Here is a 16,363-nt window from a genome sequence, read left to right on the forward strand (position 1 = left end):
AACATACCAGTTTATTTACTAGAAGTTGCACATGACATGGGTACCTTCGTAAGGAAACGAAGGCCCAGAGATCCAGTCCACTGAGTGTGCTGATGCCAGGTTGGAAGAAGAGTGGAGAGGCGTGGGAAGTGCGACGGACAGGGGAGTGAGCCTGGGGCAGGAAACTAGGGGGACATGCCATCTTCAGAGATGAGTTTGCCCCTTCCCTCTGGGTATAGGGAAGGCGCCTCTCATAGGATGATCTCATGGCCTGCTCCAGAGGAGAAAGGGGAGGTCAGAGAGTCCTCGAGGCCCAGCCTCCCACATGCAAGCTGTGTGACCTCGGGCTAGTCACCTAACCTCTCAGAGCTCTCTTTCCTCCTCTCTCTACACTGGGGTGGTTGAAATGCTTGACCTCTTGCTCCCTCATAGGGAGTGCTCAGTGACATTGGCGGTTGTGACGCTCAGCTCACCAGTCCTGCCTACTTGCCAGCAGGTATTCTCAGAGGGACCACAGAGCTGAGGGTGACCTGCACCAGTACCCACTTGGGACCATAATTCGTAGATAAGGTTCAGGCACAACACCCAGAGAAGGAAATGGCAGCCACCTGGCTCGGTTGAAATACTCATTTCAAGGGAATTCCTTGTCCATTCAAATGACTGAACAACAGCTTGATTTCATGGAATAATGGCTTTTATTAAGAAGCCAACAGGAATGATCATAGTGGGGAGTCTTGTGTCCTGGCAGTGGGTGTTTGTAGAGCACCCGGTGGTCACCAGCAACTCTGTGCAAGGCTCAGTGGGAGGGTGATTGGTGTGTTGGAGGATGTGGGTACACAGTAGCATAGGCATGCATGTGGCTGAGTGCACACATGTGCATACATGTTCACACATGCACCCGCAGCGGGAACTTGGTGAATACTTGTTGGTTGGTGGTGGTTTTTTTTTTTTTTTGAGATGGAGTTTCACTCTTGTTGCCCAGGCTGGAGTGCAATGGCACCATCTCGGCTCAGTGCAGCCTCTGTCTTCTGAGTTCAAGCAATTCTCCAGCTTCAGCCTCCCATGTAGCTCTGGGATTACAGGTGTGTGCCACCATACCCGGCTTTTTTTTTTTTTTTTTTAAGTAACAGGGTTTCACCATGTTGGGTCAGGCTGGTCTCGCACTCCTGACCTCAAGTGATGTGCCTGCCTCGGCCTCCCAAAGTGTTGGGATTACAGGCATGAGCCACTGTGCCTGGCTGGTTGGTGGGTTTTGACTGGAAGGCTATGGAGCTCCAGTGGTAGATGTGGTTATAAGGGTAACTGGGGGGTCTCAGAGTGGGGGCCAGTTGCATCAGGCCCCTGGAGGGTGGGACACTGCCTTTCCAAGAGCAACAAAGTGTGGGCGATTTGTGGTGCTGAGAATCCTGAGCAGGCAGTTCGTCTAGAGCAGGGTTGCAAACTTTTTCTGTAAAAGGCCAGATAGTAAATATGTTAGGCTTTGTGGGCCTTGTAGTCTCTGTTGCAACTACTCAGCTCTGCCCTGATGAGGCAAAAGCAGCCACAGGCAATGTACAAAATGTCCGTGGCTGTGTTCCAAGAAAACGTTATTGGCAAAAACAGGCAGTGGGCCAGATCTAAGCCATGGGCCGTAGTTTGCCAACCCCTGGTCTAGACCACTCCCATTTATAAAGTGATTCGGCTTTAGCAGCTTCCTGGAAGGTGGTGCTGCTGGCTGATAAAGCAGAGGGATGGAGCTTGTAGAATTCAGGTGATGATAGGGCTTGGATCTGAGTCCCCAGCGCGTCTCATGTTGAATTGAAACTTTGGAGGTGGGGACTGGTGGCAGGTGATTGGATCATGAGGGCAGATACCTCATGGGTTGGTGCTGTCCTCGAGATAGTGAGTTCTTACCAGATCTGGTTTAAAAGCATGTGGCACCTCTGTCCCACTCTCTCTTGCTCCTGTTTTTGCCACGTGATGCACCTCCTTCCTTTTTGCCTTCTGCCATAATTGGAAGCCTCCTGAGGCTTCTCCAGAAGCTGAACAGGTGCTGGTGCCATGCTTGTACAGCCTGTAGAACCATGAGCCAGTTAAACCTCTTTTCTTATAAATAACCCCATCTCAGCAAGAATAGCCAAACACACAGGTTTGCTGAGCAGAGCCATACGGCCAGAAGATAAGTGGGGGTCCCAAGCCCAAATGTGGGATAGTCCATCCTCAGAGCTGTCCTTCCTACACCCCTGTTCTCCTCCCGGGCCGGGATGCAGCGCTGCCCCTGGCCCCTCTGGAGCTCAGCAGGGAGCCCCATGCCCTTCCAGGTGTGGAGAGCAGCCTGCGTGTCACTGGCTGCCGCCAGATCTTACGGAGCCTCCCAGAGCACAACTACGTCGTCCTCCGCTACCTCATGGGCTTCCTGCATGCGGTGAGTGGGGAAGGGGGGAGCTTGGGGTGAAGCCCAGTGGCCTTCCCTCCCATGCTGGGCCCGCATGGACCAGTCCCCTCCTTGCCCTGGGTCTGGGGTCATGCCCTGCTTGGGCCTCGGAATACCACTCCCTGCCCCCCAAGGACCTCATCCAAGGCCTGGTCAGGCACCCATGCTGCTGCGGACCTCCTGCCTGTCAGACAGGGCGTACCTGCCCCTGCCTGCTCCTGTACCTGCTGTCCCTCAGCCATTGCCAGTGACTTTTGTTATTGGGGTCCTCTGCCCCCATGTCATTTCCTGCTTGGGCTGAGTCTCTAGGAGGTGGGAGCTGTGTCCACCACTGGTACAGAGCCCAGTGGACTGAGCTGACCATTCCTGGGGAAGGGATACACCCAGAACCACGTACATTAAGTTCCTGTGACTGCATCGTGGGTGCCTTAAAACAGATTTACTGTGTCACTCTTCTAGAGGCTAGCAGTCCAAAAGCAAGGTGTGGCGGGCTGTGCTCCTTCCAGAGGCTCTAGGGAAGGTTCCCCTTCCTGGCCTCTCCCAGCTCCTGGTCACTCCAGCTATGCCTCCAGCTCCCCCCTGGCCTTTGTCTGTGTGTGTGTCTAATCTCCCTCCACCTTTCCCTCCTAAGTGTGGACCCCCTGCCATATGTCACTGGGTTTAGGACCCACCCAGATGACGCGGGATGATCTCATCTTGAGATCCTCAACGACAGCTGCAACGGCCCTCGTTCCAAATAAGGTCACAGTCAGATTCTCTGTGGTCTATCTTAGAGGGGCCACCATTCAATCTACTACACACCAGGCTAAGCAAATGACCAGAGAGAGAGAAACCCTTCAGTGCTCTGGGCCTGGGCTTAGTGTGCTCTCCCCCTGGGGCAGGGATCCATTTGGAGCAAAAACCTGTGCAGCCAACAGGGGAAGGTTCAACACATCCACGTGGGTCCACCCCCAACCCCCAGACCCACGGCCTTGAATGTTTAACCCCCTCCATCTCTCCAGGCCTTCGCCCCAGGCTGTGCAGGGTGAGGAGAGCCTGAGCAGAGTAGGCGTCACATCCCAGAGTCTGTTGGAGAATGTCACTTCTTGGTTTTACAACAATTTTTTTTCTCCCTGTTGCTTGACATAATTTCTCAGAGGCCCAAAACTAAACTCTCCTAATTCTCTCAAAAAAATTTTTTGAGACAGTCTTGCTCTGTTGCCCTAGCTGGTGTGCACTGGTGCAATCTCAGCTCACTGCAACCCCAGCCTCCCACGTAGCTGGGATTACAGGTGAGAACCACCATGCCCGGCTAATTTTTGTTTTTTTAGTAGAGATGGGGTTTCGTCACATTGGCCAGGCTGATCTTGAACTCCTGACCTCAGGTGATCCACCTGCCTCGGCCTCTTAAGAGTGCTGGGATTACAGGTGTGAGCCACTGCACCCAGCCTACTTCTTTTTCATTAGGAGAGACTGATTTCTCTCTCTAGCCGCCACCTCCATGGGCACCGATGTGAATGCACCTGGTGGGGTGTGGTGTTGCGTGTTATCACCCCAGTGGCACCTGGGGGCCTCGGCTTGAGGAGGGGTGGCCTGCAGTGGGCCTGGCTGGTGCACACCTGCAACGGGCTTGGGGGACCGGCAGCCAGGGGGAGCCTGAAAGGCATCCAGCCATCTCACCTGAGCATCCTCAACAGATCTGTGAGGGTGGTGCCTGGCCCTGCCTCCCTCCAGTTCTCTGCTCTGCCCTGGTACTCACCGCCTCATGACCCCTGTTTCTGACTGAGGTTCCCCCCAGCTTGAATCTTGTAGGGAGGCAAGGAGCAGAGAACAGGCCCTGCCCTCACGTTGGTCCACATGGCCCCCTGCCACTGGCTGGCCACATGACCTTGGGCAAGTCTCCTGTACCTTCCAGGCCCCAGATTCCTCATCTGTAAGATGGGGAGTAATGACTCCCCCGTGCTGGGGTTGCACGTGTTGGCGGAGATGGACAAGGAGCCCCTTCTAGCAGGCAAGCTCTTTCCACTCTCCCTGCCCCTCGTAGTGGCCCCTAGATGTGCTGGCTGGTCCCCATCATGCCCAGTTCGCCACTCACAGAGCCGAGGCCAGAGAGGTCACCAAGTTCGTACCGTCTGTGCTACAGCCCATCCCCAAGATTGCATCTCCCCAGAAGGTGCAGTGGAAGAGGAGATAGTGGGGGGTTGAGGCTGTCACAGAAGGTCAGAGCCAGAGGGTCCTCCAGGACATGGAGGCCAAGCCTTCCTTTTAGAGATAGGGTAACTAAGGCCCTGAGTGGGCAGGTGGCTGCACAGGGTCCCCATTACTGGCTGCCGGCTCCCAGTCCAGTGCTCCTCTCACTACACCTACGCCTCTCCCTAAGTTCGGGAGGGAGTTCCAGGTGCCCGTGCCCCTTGGTGTTCACTCCCCTTTACTTGTGTGTGGTTTCCTCCAGGTGTCCCGGGAGAGCATCTTCAACAAAATGAACAGCTCTAACCTGGCCTGTGTCTTCGGGCTGAATTTGATCTGGCCATCCCAGGGGGTCTCCTCCCTGAGTGCCCTTGTGCCCCTGAACATGTTCACTGAACTGCTGATCGAGTACTATGAAAAGATCTTCAGCACCCCGGAGGCACCTGGGGAGCACGGCCTGGCACCATGGGAACAGGGGAGCAGGGCAGCCCCTTTGCAGGAGGCTGTGCCACGGACACAAGCCACGGGCCTCACCAAGCCTACCCTACCTCCGAGTCCCCTGATGGCAGCCAGAAGACGTCTCTAGTGTTGCGAACACTCTGTATATTTCGAGCTACCTCCCACACCTGTCTGTGCACTTGTATGTTTTGTAAACTTGGCATCTGTAAAAATAACCAGCCATTAGATGAATTCAGAACCTTCTAATGAAAACTCCATGCCTCTGGTCCTTGGACTCTTGTCCATGGTTCCTGAGCTGTGGACCGGGATAGAATAATGCATTTGTTAGGATGGATGTTTTGAATCCCAACCCAATGTGGTTTAACTGAAAACAGGAATGGAGTGGCTAACGGCTGCCAGGTCCTGCTGCTGCCACACTGCTGTGTAACACACCACCTAAGCCCAGTCACTGAAAGTTACTGCCCAGGAGTCAGTGGGTCAGCTGGGTGGTTCTATTGGTCTTTTGAGGGGGTCACTTACATGTCCTGGCTGAGCTGGCTGGCAGCTGGGGTGACTCTGTTCTCCCCCAGGTGTCCCAAGTCCTTCCAATGGCCAAACGGGGCACATTCTTACAACATAGGTCCAGGTGCACACACAAGCGCTATTGCAAGCAGTTTTCATGCTTTGACTGGCGTCCTGTATGCTCACATCTCATTGGCCAAAGCAAGCCTGGTGGCCAAGGCCAGGGTCACAGAGGGAGGGCCCTGCAAAGGGGGTGGATATGGGGAGGGTGAAGAATTGGGCATAAAGCAGCCAAGCTGCCCGAGGGCTCTGGGGTGCGACAGGACTCTGCAGTCTCAGGCAGGCTGACTCTTGGGCTGGCAAAACGGGCCCTGTATTTCCATCAGATATGGTAGAGAAGGATACAACTTCTTAGTGCCACAGTCCCAGCAAAAAAGCCCCAGGTTCACCCTGATTGGACAAGCCTAGGTCACATGCTCACCTTAGACCCATTGCTGCAGCCAGGGAAGGCTCTGATTGGCTTAGGCCTGAGTCTTGTGCCCCACCCAGACCAGGCAGTGGGGGAGGAGTGGCAGGCCGCTGCAGGGGATTACCCACGAGTCCCACGCTGCCGTCTCCCCAGCTCTTGATGCAGGGAGAAGCGGGGGAGGTTCTGGGGAGCAAAGGACAAAAGTCCCCTCTACAGATCCCCCATGGTGGCCCCTCCGTGCCTGCTTGGGGTGTTGACCGAGTTGTGCCGGGACCCCCGGTACGCGTTAGGATGCTTGGGGGAATCACTGGCAGCCCCAGGCCAAACCCACACCCAGGGCTCTCCTCTGAAACTTAGAGGGTGCGGTCTCCTCGCTGGCCTCCCTCTTCACTTGTGTGTCTTCCCATTATTCCCCTGCCCCTCATCTGCCGCTGTGTGTGTTCTACCCTGCTGGTGCTCGCTGTCCTTAAGGGAGGGGCTCGTGTGGCTGCTGAGCGACCCCCCACGCCCTGCCTTCAGAACATGGATGGTACAGGGTCACGGGCATGGGGACAGGGATGGGGAGGGTTGCAGAATGGCCGTTACACCCCCTGGTAAGCTTCGTGCCATCCCAGCTGGGGATGGAGTCCCCAAATGACACCCCTCTTCTCTGCCCAAGCTCAGAACCTACCTGAGTCACACGGTATATTACTGACGGCCAATGCCTATGTTCTGCAGCAATCTCAATCCTTGCCTCCTCAGAAGAAAGAGTTCGACTGGCCGGGCGCGGTGACTCACGCCTGTAATCCCAGCACTTTAGGAAGCCAAGGCAGTTGCATCACCTGAGGTCAAGAGTTCGAGACCAGCCTGGCCAACATGGTGAAACCCCGTCTCTACTAAAAATACAAAAAATTAGCCAAGTGTGGTGGAGCACACCTGTAGTCCCAGCTACTCGGGAGGCCGAGGCAGGAGAATCGCTTGAACCCGGGAGGCAGAGGTTGCAGTGAGCCAAGATCGTGCCAGGGCATTCCAGTCTGGGCAACAGAGTGAGACTCCGTCTCAAAAAAATAAAAAAGAGAGTTCAACTGAGGGGCATAAGGATGAGTGAGAGACCGAGGACCGAGGCAAGTTTTAGAGCAGGAGTGAAAGTGTATTAAAAAACTTTAAAGCAGGAACGAAAGGAAGAAAAGTACCCTTGGAAGAAGACCAAGCGGGCGACTTGAGAGATCAAGTGGGTGGTTTGACCTTCGACCTAGGGTAGGCCGGGCACAGTGGCTCATGCCTGTAATCCCAGCACTTTGGGAGGCCAAGGCAGGTGGATCACTTGAGGTCCAGAGTTCAAGACCAGCCTGGCCAACATGGTGAAACCTTGTGTTTACTTGTCTACTCAAAATATGAAAATTAGCCAGGCAGGGGGGCAGTGGGGCCAGGGGGATGCCCAAGCCCAGTCACTGAAAGCAACTGCTGGTCATTACTGCCCATGAGTCAGTGGGTCAGCTGGGTGGTTCTATTGGTCTTTTGAGGGGATGGCTTACATGTCCTGGCTGAGCTGGCTGTCAGCCAGGGTGACTCTGTTCTCCTGCAGGTGTCCCAAATCCTCCAACGGCTAAAAGGGGCACATTCTTACAACACAGGTCCAGGCGCACACACAAGCGCTACTGCAAGCAGTTTTCATGCTTTGACTGGTGTCCTGCATGCTCACATCCCATTGGCCAAAGCAAGCCTGGTGGCCGAGGCCAGGGTCACAGTGGGAGGGCCCTGCAAAGGAGGTGGATAGGGGGAGGGTGAAGAATTGGGCATAAAACAGCCAAGCTGCCCGAGGGCTCTGGGGTGCGACAGGACTCTGCAGTCTCAGGCAGGCTGACTCCTCGGGCTGGCAAGATAGAAGCACAGGGCCCATCAAATATGGCGGAGAAGGATACAACGTCTTAGTGCCACATTCCCAGCAAAAAAGCCCCAGATTCGCCCTGATTGGACAAGCCTAGGTCACATGCTCACCTTGGACCCATTGCTGCAGCCAGGGAAGGCTCCGACTGGCTTAAGCCTGAGTCCTGCGCCCACCTAGACCTGGCAGTGGGGGAGGAGTGACAGGCCTCTGCGGGAGATTACCCGCAAGTCCCACGCTGCGGTCTCCCCAGCTCTTGCTGCAGGGAGAAATGGGGGAGGTTCTGGGGAGCAGAGGACAAAAGTCCCCTCAGCAGCGTGGGTACCTGACCGGGCCTTGGATGAGGTCCTTGGTGGCCAGGAAGTAGTATTCCGAGGCCCAAGTAGGGCATGACCCCAGACCCGGGGCAAGGAGGGGACTGGTCCATGCGGGCCCAGCATGGCAGGGAAGGCCACTGGGCTTCACCCCAAGCGCCCCCCTTGCCCACTCACCGTGTGCAGGAAGCCCATGAGGTAGCGGAGGACGACACAGTTGTGCTCCAGTGCCCCGTAGGATGGGGCGGCAGCGAGTGACGCGCAGGCTGCTCTCCACACCTGGAAGGGCATGGGGCTCCCTGCTGAGCTCCAGAGGGGCCAGGGGCAGCGCTGCATCCCGGCCCAGGGGGAGGACAGGGGCGTAGGGAGGACAGCTCTGAAGATGGACTGACTGTCCCACAGTCGGGCTTGAGACCCCCACTTAACTTTCTGGCCGTGTGTCTCTGCTCAGCAAACTTTGTGTTTGGCCGTTCTTGCATTGCTATGAAGAAATACCTGAGATGCGGTCATTTATAAGAAAAGAGGTTTAACTGGCTTATGGTTCTGCAAGCTATACAAGCATGCCACTAGCACCTGTTCAACTTCTGGGGAAGCCTCAGGAGGCTTCCAATCATGGCAGACGGCAAAAAGGAAGGAGGCGCATCACATGGCAAAAACAGGAGCAAGAGAGAGTGTGGGGCAGAGGTGCCACATGCTTTTAAACCAGATCTGGTAAGAACTCACTCACTGTCTAGAGGACAGCACCAACCCATGAGGTATCTGCTCTCATGATCCAATCACCTCCCACCAGTCCCCACCTCCAACCTTGAGGGTTCCAATTCAACATGAGATGCGCTGGGGACTGAGATCCAAGCCCTATCACCTGAATTCTGCAAGCTCCGTCCCTCTGCTTTATCAGCCAGCAGCACCACCTTCCAGGAAGCTGCTAAAGCCGAATCACTTTATAAATGGGAGTGGTCTAGACCAGGGGTTGGCAAACTACGGCCCATGGCTTAGATCTGGCCCACTGCCTGTTTTTGCCAATAAAGTTTTCTTGGAACACAGCCACGGACATTTTGTACATTGCCTGTGGCTGCTTTTGCCTCATCAGGGCAGAGCTGAGTAGTTGCAACAGAGACTACAAGGCCCACAAAGCCTAACATATTTACTATCTGGCCTTTTACAGAAAAAGTTTGCAACCCTGCTCTAGACGAACTGCCTGCTCACGATTCTCAGCACCACAAATCGCCCACACTTTGTTGCTCTTGGAAAGGCAGTGTCCCACCCTCCAGGGGCCTGATGCAACTGGCCCCCACTCTGAGACCCCCCCCCCCAGTTACCCTTATAACCACATCTACCACTGGAGCTCCATAGCCTTCCAATCAAAACCCACCGAGTAGCCAGGCACAGTGGCTCATGCCTGTAATCCCAACAGTTGGGGAGGCCGAGGCAGGCGCATCACTTGAGGTCAGGAGTTTGAGACCAGCCTGATCCAACATGGTGAAAGCCTGTCTCCACAAAAAAAAAAGAAAAAAAAAATTTATCCAGGTGTAGTGGCACACACCTGTAATCCCAGCTACTTGGGAGGCCGAAGCAGGAGAATTGCTTGAACTGGGAAGACAGGTTGCAGTGAGCCAAGATGGCGCCATTGCACTCCAGCCTGGGCAACAAGAGCAAAACTCCATCTCAAAAAAAAAAAAAAACAAAAAAACACACCAACCAACAAGTATTCACCAAGTTCCCGCTGCAGGTGCATGTATGAACACGTATGCACATGCATGCCCATGCTACTGTATACCCACATCCTCCAACACACCAACCACCCTCCGAGACTTGCACAGAGTTGCTGGTGAACACTGGGTGCTCTACAAACACCCACTGCCAAGACACAAGACTCCCCACTGTGATCATTCCTGTTGGCTTCTTAATAAAAGCCATTATTCCATGAAATCAAGCTGTTGTTCAGTCATTTGAATGGACAAGGAATTCCCTTGAAATGAATATTTCAACCGAGCCTGGTGGCTGCCATCTCCTTCGTGCCTGCATGGGGTGTTGACCTATCGGTGCACCGCGGGCACCTCACACTCCAGGGCAAGCTGGAGAGGGTTCTGCTTTCTCCCAACCAGCCTCCAACTCCGATTCTGTCTGACGTCCAGGTGGCAGCACCATGCCCCTGAGGCCCGGTCATTCCTTTACCAATGGCGGGGATGAGTCGCGAGGGTGCCAGTCTGGTGGGGAGCCACTAGCTGAATCCATTTTCCTTCTAGGAGAGAGGGCGGCTCAGTAGCAGCTCGGTGCTGGTGGGCGCTGAGCTGGCCCTGCCTTCAGAACATGGATGGTGCAGGGTCATGGGCATGGGGACAGAGATAGGGAGGGTTGCAGAGTGGCCGTTACACCCCCTGGTAAGCCTCGTGCCATCCCAGCTGCGGATGGAGTCCCCAAATGACACCCCTCTTCTCTGCCCAAGCTGAGAACCTACCTCAGACACATGGTATATTACTGACCACGAATCCCTATGTTCTGCAGCAATCTCAATCCTTACCTCCTCAGAAGAAAGAGTTCGACTGGCCGGGCTCGGCGACTCACGCCTGTAATCCCAGCACTTTGGGAGGCCAAGGCGGGTGGATTACCTGAGGTCAGGAGTTCGAGACCAGCCTGGCCAACATGATGAAACCCTGTGTCTACTAAAAATACAAAAATTAGCCAGGTGGGGGGCAGGGGGACGGGGGGCGGCGGGGGTGGGCACCTGTAGTCCCAGCTACTTGGGAGGCGGAGGCAGGAGAATCACTTGAACCTGGGAGGCGGAGGTTGCAGTGAGACGAGATTGCGCCACTGTACTCCAGCTTGAGTGACAAGTGAGACTGTCTCAAGAAAAAAAAAGGTTTTATGTGTTGGCAGGCATCTGAGGTCTGTGTGCCTTCTCCCGATTCCTCCCTTGGGGTGGGCTGTCCGCATGCACAGAGGCCCGCCAGCACTTTGGAGGGGAGCACGCACAGTGTTTACCGGAGCTGTGTGCGTGCTCGCCTGGGTGTTTTCCCCTTACCCGTCGAGCGCTCCTGTAGCAGGACGAGCCGCAGACAAAACTCCTCAGACACCAGACTAAAGAAGGACGAGGTTTTTTATCCAGCCTGGAACGCCGACAGACTCGCGTCTTAAGAGCCGACCTCGCCGAAGACACCGTTCCTGGCCCTTTTAAGGGCTTACAACTCTAAGGGGTTCCACGTGAACGGGTCGTGATGGATTGAGAGCACGTGTGGTTAGAGGTCGGGGGGTAATCTTTTAACCTCAGGCCGGGTCATCGGTGGCACCGGCTGGTCTTGCCACTGACTTCATTCCTGTTGTTTTTCAACGTTTACTTCCTCCTCCTCTTCAGAGACAGGAGACAGTAAGAGAAGTGGCTTCTCTCCTCGTTCCCATGAGGTCAAACACAAGTTAAATTCCACCATTTTGCCTCCTAGTGCTCGTGTGTGAACTCGCTCGCCCAACTCCTGAGATCTTTGTCGGGGGAAGCTTATTACCATGGCACCAGCTTCAGGTGATTCTATTCAGAGGCTGCGTTCCCTGGTTCTGGCTGCAAACAATTACAATTATAGAGAAACAGTAACAACTGCCTGCCATCACGTGGCCACCTGACTCTCCTAGTGGGGGTGGGGGGAGCCCTCCCCTGCCCCGCTCCCGTCTGACTAGCTACTACTGTAACAAATTGAGAAAGCGGTCTTTCAGGAGGCCCACAGGTGGAAACTGAAGTTTCCCTACAGCTGCCCAGAGGCCCTGATCTGTGGATGAGGGCCTTTGCTAACTGGTCACTGTGATTCAGACGGACTCACCGCCCGGTCACTGGCCCTGCAGACAGCTGGCTCTTGAGGACTGGCACAGCTAACCAGGCCTGGCTTCCTCTCTGGGGAGTGACAGTCAGAATATTCTCTACTCTTCCCATGGGAGGAGGCATGGGGAGGCCAGGAATATTAATCCTACTGGATGAGTTTCTCCTGTGAGGACACTGGAGTAGGTCTGTGTGCCCTCTGATATTCTCATTCCTAGTGTGCACATGAGAATCCAGAGGCCCCCCACAGAACAGTAAGAGAACACACCTGAAGTCACACAGCTAGTGAGTGGCAGAGCTGGGATTTGAACCAGGGCAACCCCATGTTTTTCCACGGAGCTGTGGGAGCCAAAGGGAGACACCTGGGCCTTGGGCTTCCCATCTATACAGTGGGTTTTGTTTTTCGTCTGTTTGTTTTGAGACAGAGTCTCGCTCTAACCCCCAGGCTGGACTGCAGTGGCACAATCTCGGCTCACTGCAAACTCCACCTCCTGGGTTCAAGCGACTCTCCTGCTTCAGCCTCCCAAGTAGCTGGGATTACAAACACACACCACCATGCCCAGTGAATATTTTTTATTTTAGTATAGATGGGGTTCCACCATGTTGCCCAGGCTGGTCTCAAACTCCTGAGCTCAGGCAATCCACCCAACTCGGCCTCCCGGAGTGCTAGGATTACAGGCATGAGCCACTGCACCTGGCCCTACAATGGGTTTTTACACTGCCTACTCCCAGCTCTGAGAACGCCAGTCAGAGACCAAAAATCCTGAGCTAGGATCAGCCCCACCTTTTGCAGTGACTCAGCAAGTTTAATCCACACTGGGTTGTCAGCTGTCACCATCAGCCCACGTTTAGGCAGGAAACAGAGATGCATGGCGGTGCCCCTGGCAGCCTCTGCACTGAAGTCCTTTGAGAGGCTCCAGGTCCCTGCTCACCCCCCACCAGCCCTCATCCAGCTTAGAGCAGGAGGACTGCACCTCATGCCCTCACTGCTTCAGGGCTCCAGGGAGCAGGACTACAGGCACCCAGCCCTGAGCCCTATCCTTCGGAGGAACCACCAGGGCCTGTGGGCCTCAGTGAGGCTTTCTGGACTCCTCTTCCCCTTTCCCCTCCCGGCTCCTTCTTCCCCACTGGTCTCTTGTCCAATGCCTGGCTACGCCTTCCTCCTCCCTTCATTCATGTTTTTACTCCCTCCCGCACCTTCACCATACATGATCTGTTTTTCTGTTCTTTTTAGCTCTCACTCCTAGCTAACCTAGGCCAGAATGATTCTTTTATGCATCTTGAAAGTTGATTATTGTTTTATTTCTTTTCTACTCTGCTACAAAGTCTTTTTTTCCTTTTTCTTGAAATGGAGTTTCACTCCATCGCCCAGGCTGGAGTGCAGTGGTGCAATCTTGGCTTACTACAACCTCCGCCTCCCAGATTCAAGTGGTTCTCCTGCCTCAGCATCTCTAGTAGCTGGGATTACAGGCGCCCGCCACCACGCCTGGCTTTTTTTTTTTTTTTTTTGTAATTTTAGTAGAGACGGGGTTTCACCATGTTGGCCAGGCTGGTCTCGAACTCCTGACCTCAGGTGATCCACCCACCTCGGCCTCCCAAAGTGTTGGGATTATAGGCGTAAGCCACCGCGCCTGGCCTAAAGCCTTTTTCTTTTGATTCACTCATTCATTCTTTTTTTTAAAAACTGCAACCTTCCAGCTCTGACCAAACACATCCAGGCACAAGGCACCCAGACCAGGCCTGAGTGGGATCCCCAAGAATGGCTCGATTTGGAGCCCGAGGCAATCAGCCACCTGTCTCCCTGGCCACAGCCTCTGGAAAAGCCACACCTAGCATCTGCACCCCCTCCCCAGGAAGGTGTCTTGTGCTCACACAATTCAGAACAACCCTAAAATGGTCTCAGAATTCTGTTGCCAGGGAAAAAAAAAAAAACTGAAATAAAAATGATGGCTCCCTGAAGAGCCCACCATTGTGAGCACCAGAATTAACAATGACATTAAATCAAATCTCATGCATTATGCAGAGAGGTTTACAGCAAAATGCACGTCTGTGAAATATATGTTTCAAATTTCCTGACTCCAAGAGGTGGCCCCAAGATGTTCTCCTGTGGCTTCTTTGATAACAGTTTCCCTGTCACAAACGTTAATTGTGGAATCCTAGCTTAGCACTGCGTGGCCTCATCACCCTTCCCTTGTATCAAAGCACAATTTCCTGATCATTTCCACAGCAAAAGAAAGTGATTACAGAGATAATGTGGTGGAAGCACATCAGCACATTTCAGCTTAAAACAATGAAATGCGGTGCTGAAATGAGGACTCCAGGGTGTCTCTATTGACAGGACGCACAGAATAAATTGTCCAAACATTCACCTTTGCAGTAACGACAGAGATTTTTAAGTGACTCCAGAGATTAGGCGGGCTGCCCAGAACTTGTAACTGACATCCACAATGAATTATTGAATTCTGTTGAGGCATAAAAGTCTGTAGCAAACCAAGTAGTCAGTCTACCCTGAAGAAGGCCAGCCTGCTGTCACTGGAGGGGCAAAGACTGGGCACCCCACTTCTGGTACCATTTGCAGCTGTGTGACCATTGGCAAGTCATTTAGCCCAGGACGGGGAGTTGAAAGTCACAAGGCTCAGCTTGGGTGTTTGTCCTACATGGTGGGCATATGACCTGTGTAAGTTCTCTGAGCTTTTTCTCTTTGTGTGATGGGGAAGGTCAGCATCCACCCTGCAATACCCTGTGTGCTCCCAAGCACCTGCTTTGTGCCAGGCAGTGAAAGTCTCATAATTACAGAGAAGAGCACAGTACATTTCCTGCCCTCAAAGGGCTTCCTCAATAGCTGGGGAGAATGTAAGAAAGTAAATGCGGCCGGGCGCGGTGGCTCACGCTTGTAATCCCAGCACTTTGGAAGGCTGAGGCGGGCGGATCACGAGGTCAGGAGATCGAGACCATCCTGGCTAACACGGTGAAACCCTGTCTCTACTAAAAATACAAAAAAATTATCCAGGCGTGATGGCGGGCGCCTGTAGTCCCAGCTACTTGGGAGGCTGAGGCAGGAGAATGGCGTGAACCCAGGAGGCGGAGGTTGCAGTGAGCTGAGATTGCGCCACTGCACTCCCGCCTGGGCCACAGAGCGAGACTCCATCTCAAAAAAAAAAAAAAAAAAAAAAGAAAGAAAGTAAATGCGCAATTAACTGTTTTTAAGAACTAAAGCAGTATGTGCAGGGCACAGGGAGGTGCAGGATAGGAGACAGAAGAGACAAGAGAGTCGTAAACACCTCCTGGTTTTTGGCTTGAGATATGTGGGCAACTAAGGGTGATCGTCCCTGGAATGGCAGGAGTATGGGAGAAAGAGCAGGTTCTGCTGTTGATTTTTTAAAATTTATTATTTTATTATTATTATTTTTGAGATTGAGTCTCACTCTGTCACCCAGGCTGGAGTGCAGTGGTGCAATCTCTGTTCACTGCAGCCCTTTTGGGTTCAAGCGATTCTCCTACCTCAGCCTCCCTAGTAGCTGGAATTACAGGCACACACCACTATGCCTGGGTAATTCTCGTATTTTTAGTAGAGACAGGGTTTCACCACGTTGGCCAGGCTGGGCTCAAACTCCTGACCTCAAGTGATCTTCCTGTCTCAGCCTCCCAAAGTGCTGGGATTACAGGCGTGAGCCACTGTGCCCAGCCTCTCTGCTGTTGATTTGATATCAAAAAGCTTTACTTTTTTGTTAGAATAACAATAACTTACTGTTTAGGGGAAAAAAGAAAAAAAAAAAAAAACAATGACAGAAGGTATACAAGCTGTGCCTGTAGTCCCAGCTCCTTTGGAGGCTGAAATGGGAGGACTGCTTGAGTCCAGGAGGTTGATGCTGCAATGAGCCGAGATCATGATCATGCCACTGAACTCCAGCCTGGGTGACAGTGAGACCCTGTCTTAAAAACAACACACACACACACACACACACACACACACACACACACACACGCCAAGAAAAGAAAAATCACTTGAAATGTGACTATCTATGAATCCTATTCTTAATATTTTGAGAAATGGGCACTCTCGTATACTGCTGGTCACAATGCAAATAGTACAGTCACTTTAGAGAGCGATTTAGCAAGCTGGTGAAGTTCAAGCATTGTTAAGTCTAGATAATAACCAAGAAAGTAGGTATAATAACATCACCGCAGCACGGCTGTCAGAGAAAATAATTAGATGCAGCCTAAATATCCATCAGTAGCAGAAATGACAAATAAATTGGGTGATGTATTCACAAGATTGAAGAGTGTCCTGCAGTTAAACTGAACAAAATAGGAGTGAATTTATCAATATAGATAGATCTCAAAATATTGCATTAGGAAGGAAAAAAGCTACAGAACAATAAAGATAGCATGGCAT

At 53.1% G+C, this 16,363-nt stretch overlaps 2 protein-coding genes and 2 long non-coding RNA genes across 8 annotated transcripts in view, besides 7 other annotated features; 2 read left to right on the forward strand and 2 right to left on the reverse strand.

Annotated features, from left to right (window-relative positions):
* PRR5-ARHGAP8 (PRR5-ARHGAP8 readthrough) overlaps positions 1-5,333 on the forward strand; it is a 160,581-nt gene extending 155,248 nt beyond the window's left edge. Inside the window, exons 14-15 of the mRNA NM_181334.6 lie at positions 2,280-2,383; positions 4,824-5,333. Coding sequence (NP_851851.3) covers positions 2,280-2,383; positions 4,824-5,144 — 425 coding nt within the window. The 3' untranslated portion in view covers positions 5,145-5,333. The remainder of the gene's footprint in view (positions 1-2,279; positions 2,384-4,823) is intronic.
* ARHGAP8 (Rho GTPase activating protein 8) overlaps positions 1-5,333 on the forward strand; it is a 110,210-nt gene extending 104,877 nt beyond the window's left edge. For 2 of the 3 annotated variants that reach the window (NM_001017526.2, NM_181335.3), the window contains 2 exons: positions 2,280-2,383; positions 4,824-5,333. In NM_001017526.2, the coding sequence (NP_001017526.1) occupies positions 2,280-2,383; positions 4,824-5,144 (425 nt within the window). In that variant the 3' untranslated portion in view covers positions 5,145-5,333. The remainder of the gene's footprint in view (positions 1-2,279; positions 2,384-4,823) is intronic. The other variant, NM_001198726.2, reaches the window with a different exon arrangement.
* Positions 1,903-2,597: an enhancer, noted in NCBI's record as "H3K27ac-H3K4me1 hESC enhancer chr22:45255234-45255928 (GRCh37/hg19 assembly coordinates)". NCBI's record gives its function as "activates a minimal SCP1, AML or CMV promoter by ChIP-STARR-seq in primed H9 embryonic stem cells {active_cell/tissue: H9 hESC(primed)}" and the evidence as "EXISTENCE:reporter gene assay evidence [ECO:0000049][PMID:30033119]".
* On the reverse strand, positions 2,005-6,788 carry LOC105373062 (uncharacterized). Of its 2 annotated transcripts, XR_938302.3 has the most exons (4): positions 6,658-6,788; positions 6,000-6,170; positions 5,537-5,760; positions 2,005-2,032 (listed from the first exon to the last, which is right to left on the reverse strand). It is a non-coding gene; the product is annotated as an uncharacterized LOC105373062 (long non-coding RNA). The 2 variants fall into 2 exon arrangements; XR_001755586.3 differs by lacking the exon at positions 2,005-2,032 and having other exon boundaries at positions 5,428-5,760.
* Positions 6,122-6,875: an enhancer, noted in NCBI's record as "H3K4me1 hESC enhancer chr22:45259453-45260206 (GRCh37/hg19 assembly coordinates)". NCBI's record gives its function as "activates a minimal SCP1, AML or CMV promoter by ChIP-STARR-seq in naive H9 embryonic stem cells {active_cell/tissue: H9 hESC(naive)}" and the evidence as "EXISTENCE:reporter gene assay evidence [ECO:0000049][PMID:30033119]".
* LOC124905133 (uncharacterized) lies at positions 6,828-10,791 on the reverse strand. Of its 2 annotated transcripts, XR_007068129.1 has the most exons (4): positions 8,343-10,791; positions 7,965-8,110; positions 7,502-7,724; positions 6,828-6,862 (listed from the first exon to the last, which is right to left on the reverse strand). It is a non-coding gene; the product is annotated as an uncharacterized LOC124905133 (long non-coding RNA). The 2 variants fall into 2 exon arrangements; XR_007068128.1 differs by lacking the exon at positions 6,828-6,862 and having other exon boundaries at positions 7,320-7,724.
* Positions 9,885-10,797: an enhancer, noted in NCBI's record as "H3K4me1 hESC enhancer chr22:45263216-45264128 (GRCh37/hg19 assembly coordinates)". NCBI's record gives its function as "activates a minimal SCP1, AML or CMV promoter by ChIP-STARR-seq in naive H9 embryonic stem cells {active_cell/tissue: H9 hESC(naive)}" and the evidence as "EXISTENCE:reporter gene assay evidence [ECO:0000049][PMID:30033119]".
* Positions 9,885-11,952: a biological region, named in NCBI's record as "BRD4-independent group 4 enhancer GRCh37_chr22:45264084-45265283".
* Positions 10,753-11,952: an enhancer, noted in NCBI's record as "BRD4-independent group 4 enhancer chr22:45264084-45265283 (GRCh37/hg19 assembly coordinates)". NCBI's record gives its function as "activates an origin of replication core promoter dependent on BRD2, P300/CBP, MED14 and CDK7 cofactors, and independent of BRD4, by STARR-seq in HCT116 cells {active_cell/tissue: HCT116}" and the evidence as "EXISTENCE:reporter gene assay evidence [ECO:0000049][PMID:35650434]".
* Positions 10,798-11,709: an enhancer, noted in NCBI's record as "H3K27ac-H3K4me1 hESC enhancer chr22:45264129-45265040 (GRCh37/hg19 assembly coordinates)". NCBI's record gives its function as "activates a minimal SCP1, AML or CMV promoter by ChIP-STARR-seq in naive H9 embryonic stem cells {active_cell/tissue: H9 hESC(naive)}" and the evidence as "EXISTENCE:reporter gene assay evidence [ECO:0000049][PMID:30033119]".
* Positions 12,622-13,533: an enhancer, noted in NCBI's record as "H3K27ac-H3K4me1 hESC enhancer chr22:45265953-45266864 (GRCh37/hg19 assembly coordinates)". NCBI's record gives its function as "activates a minimal SCP1, AML or CMV promoter by ChIP-STARR-seq in primed H9 embryonic stem cells {active_cell/tissue: H9 hESC(primed)}" and the evidence as "EXISTENCE:reporter gene assay evidence [ECO:0000049][PMID:30033119]".

This window comes from Homo sapiens, chromosome 22 (assembly GCF_000001405.40).
Source record: "Homo sapiens chromosome 22, GRCh38.p14 Primary Assembly".
Taxonomy (NCBI): Eukaryota; Metazoa; Chordata; class Mammalia; order Primates; family Hominidae; genus Homo; species Homo sapiens.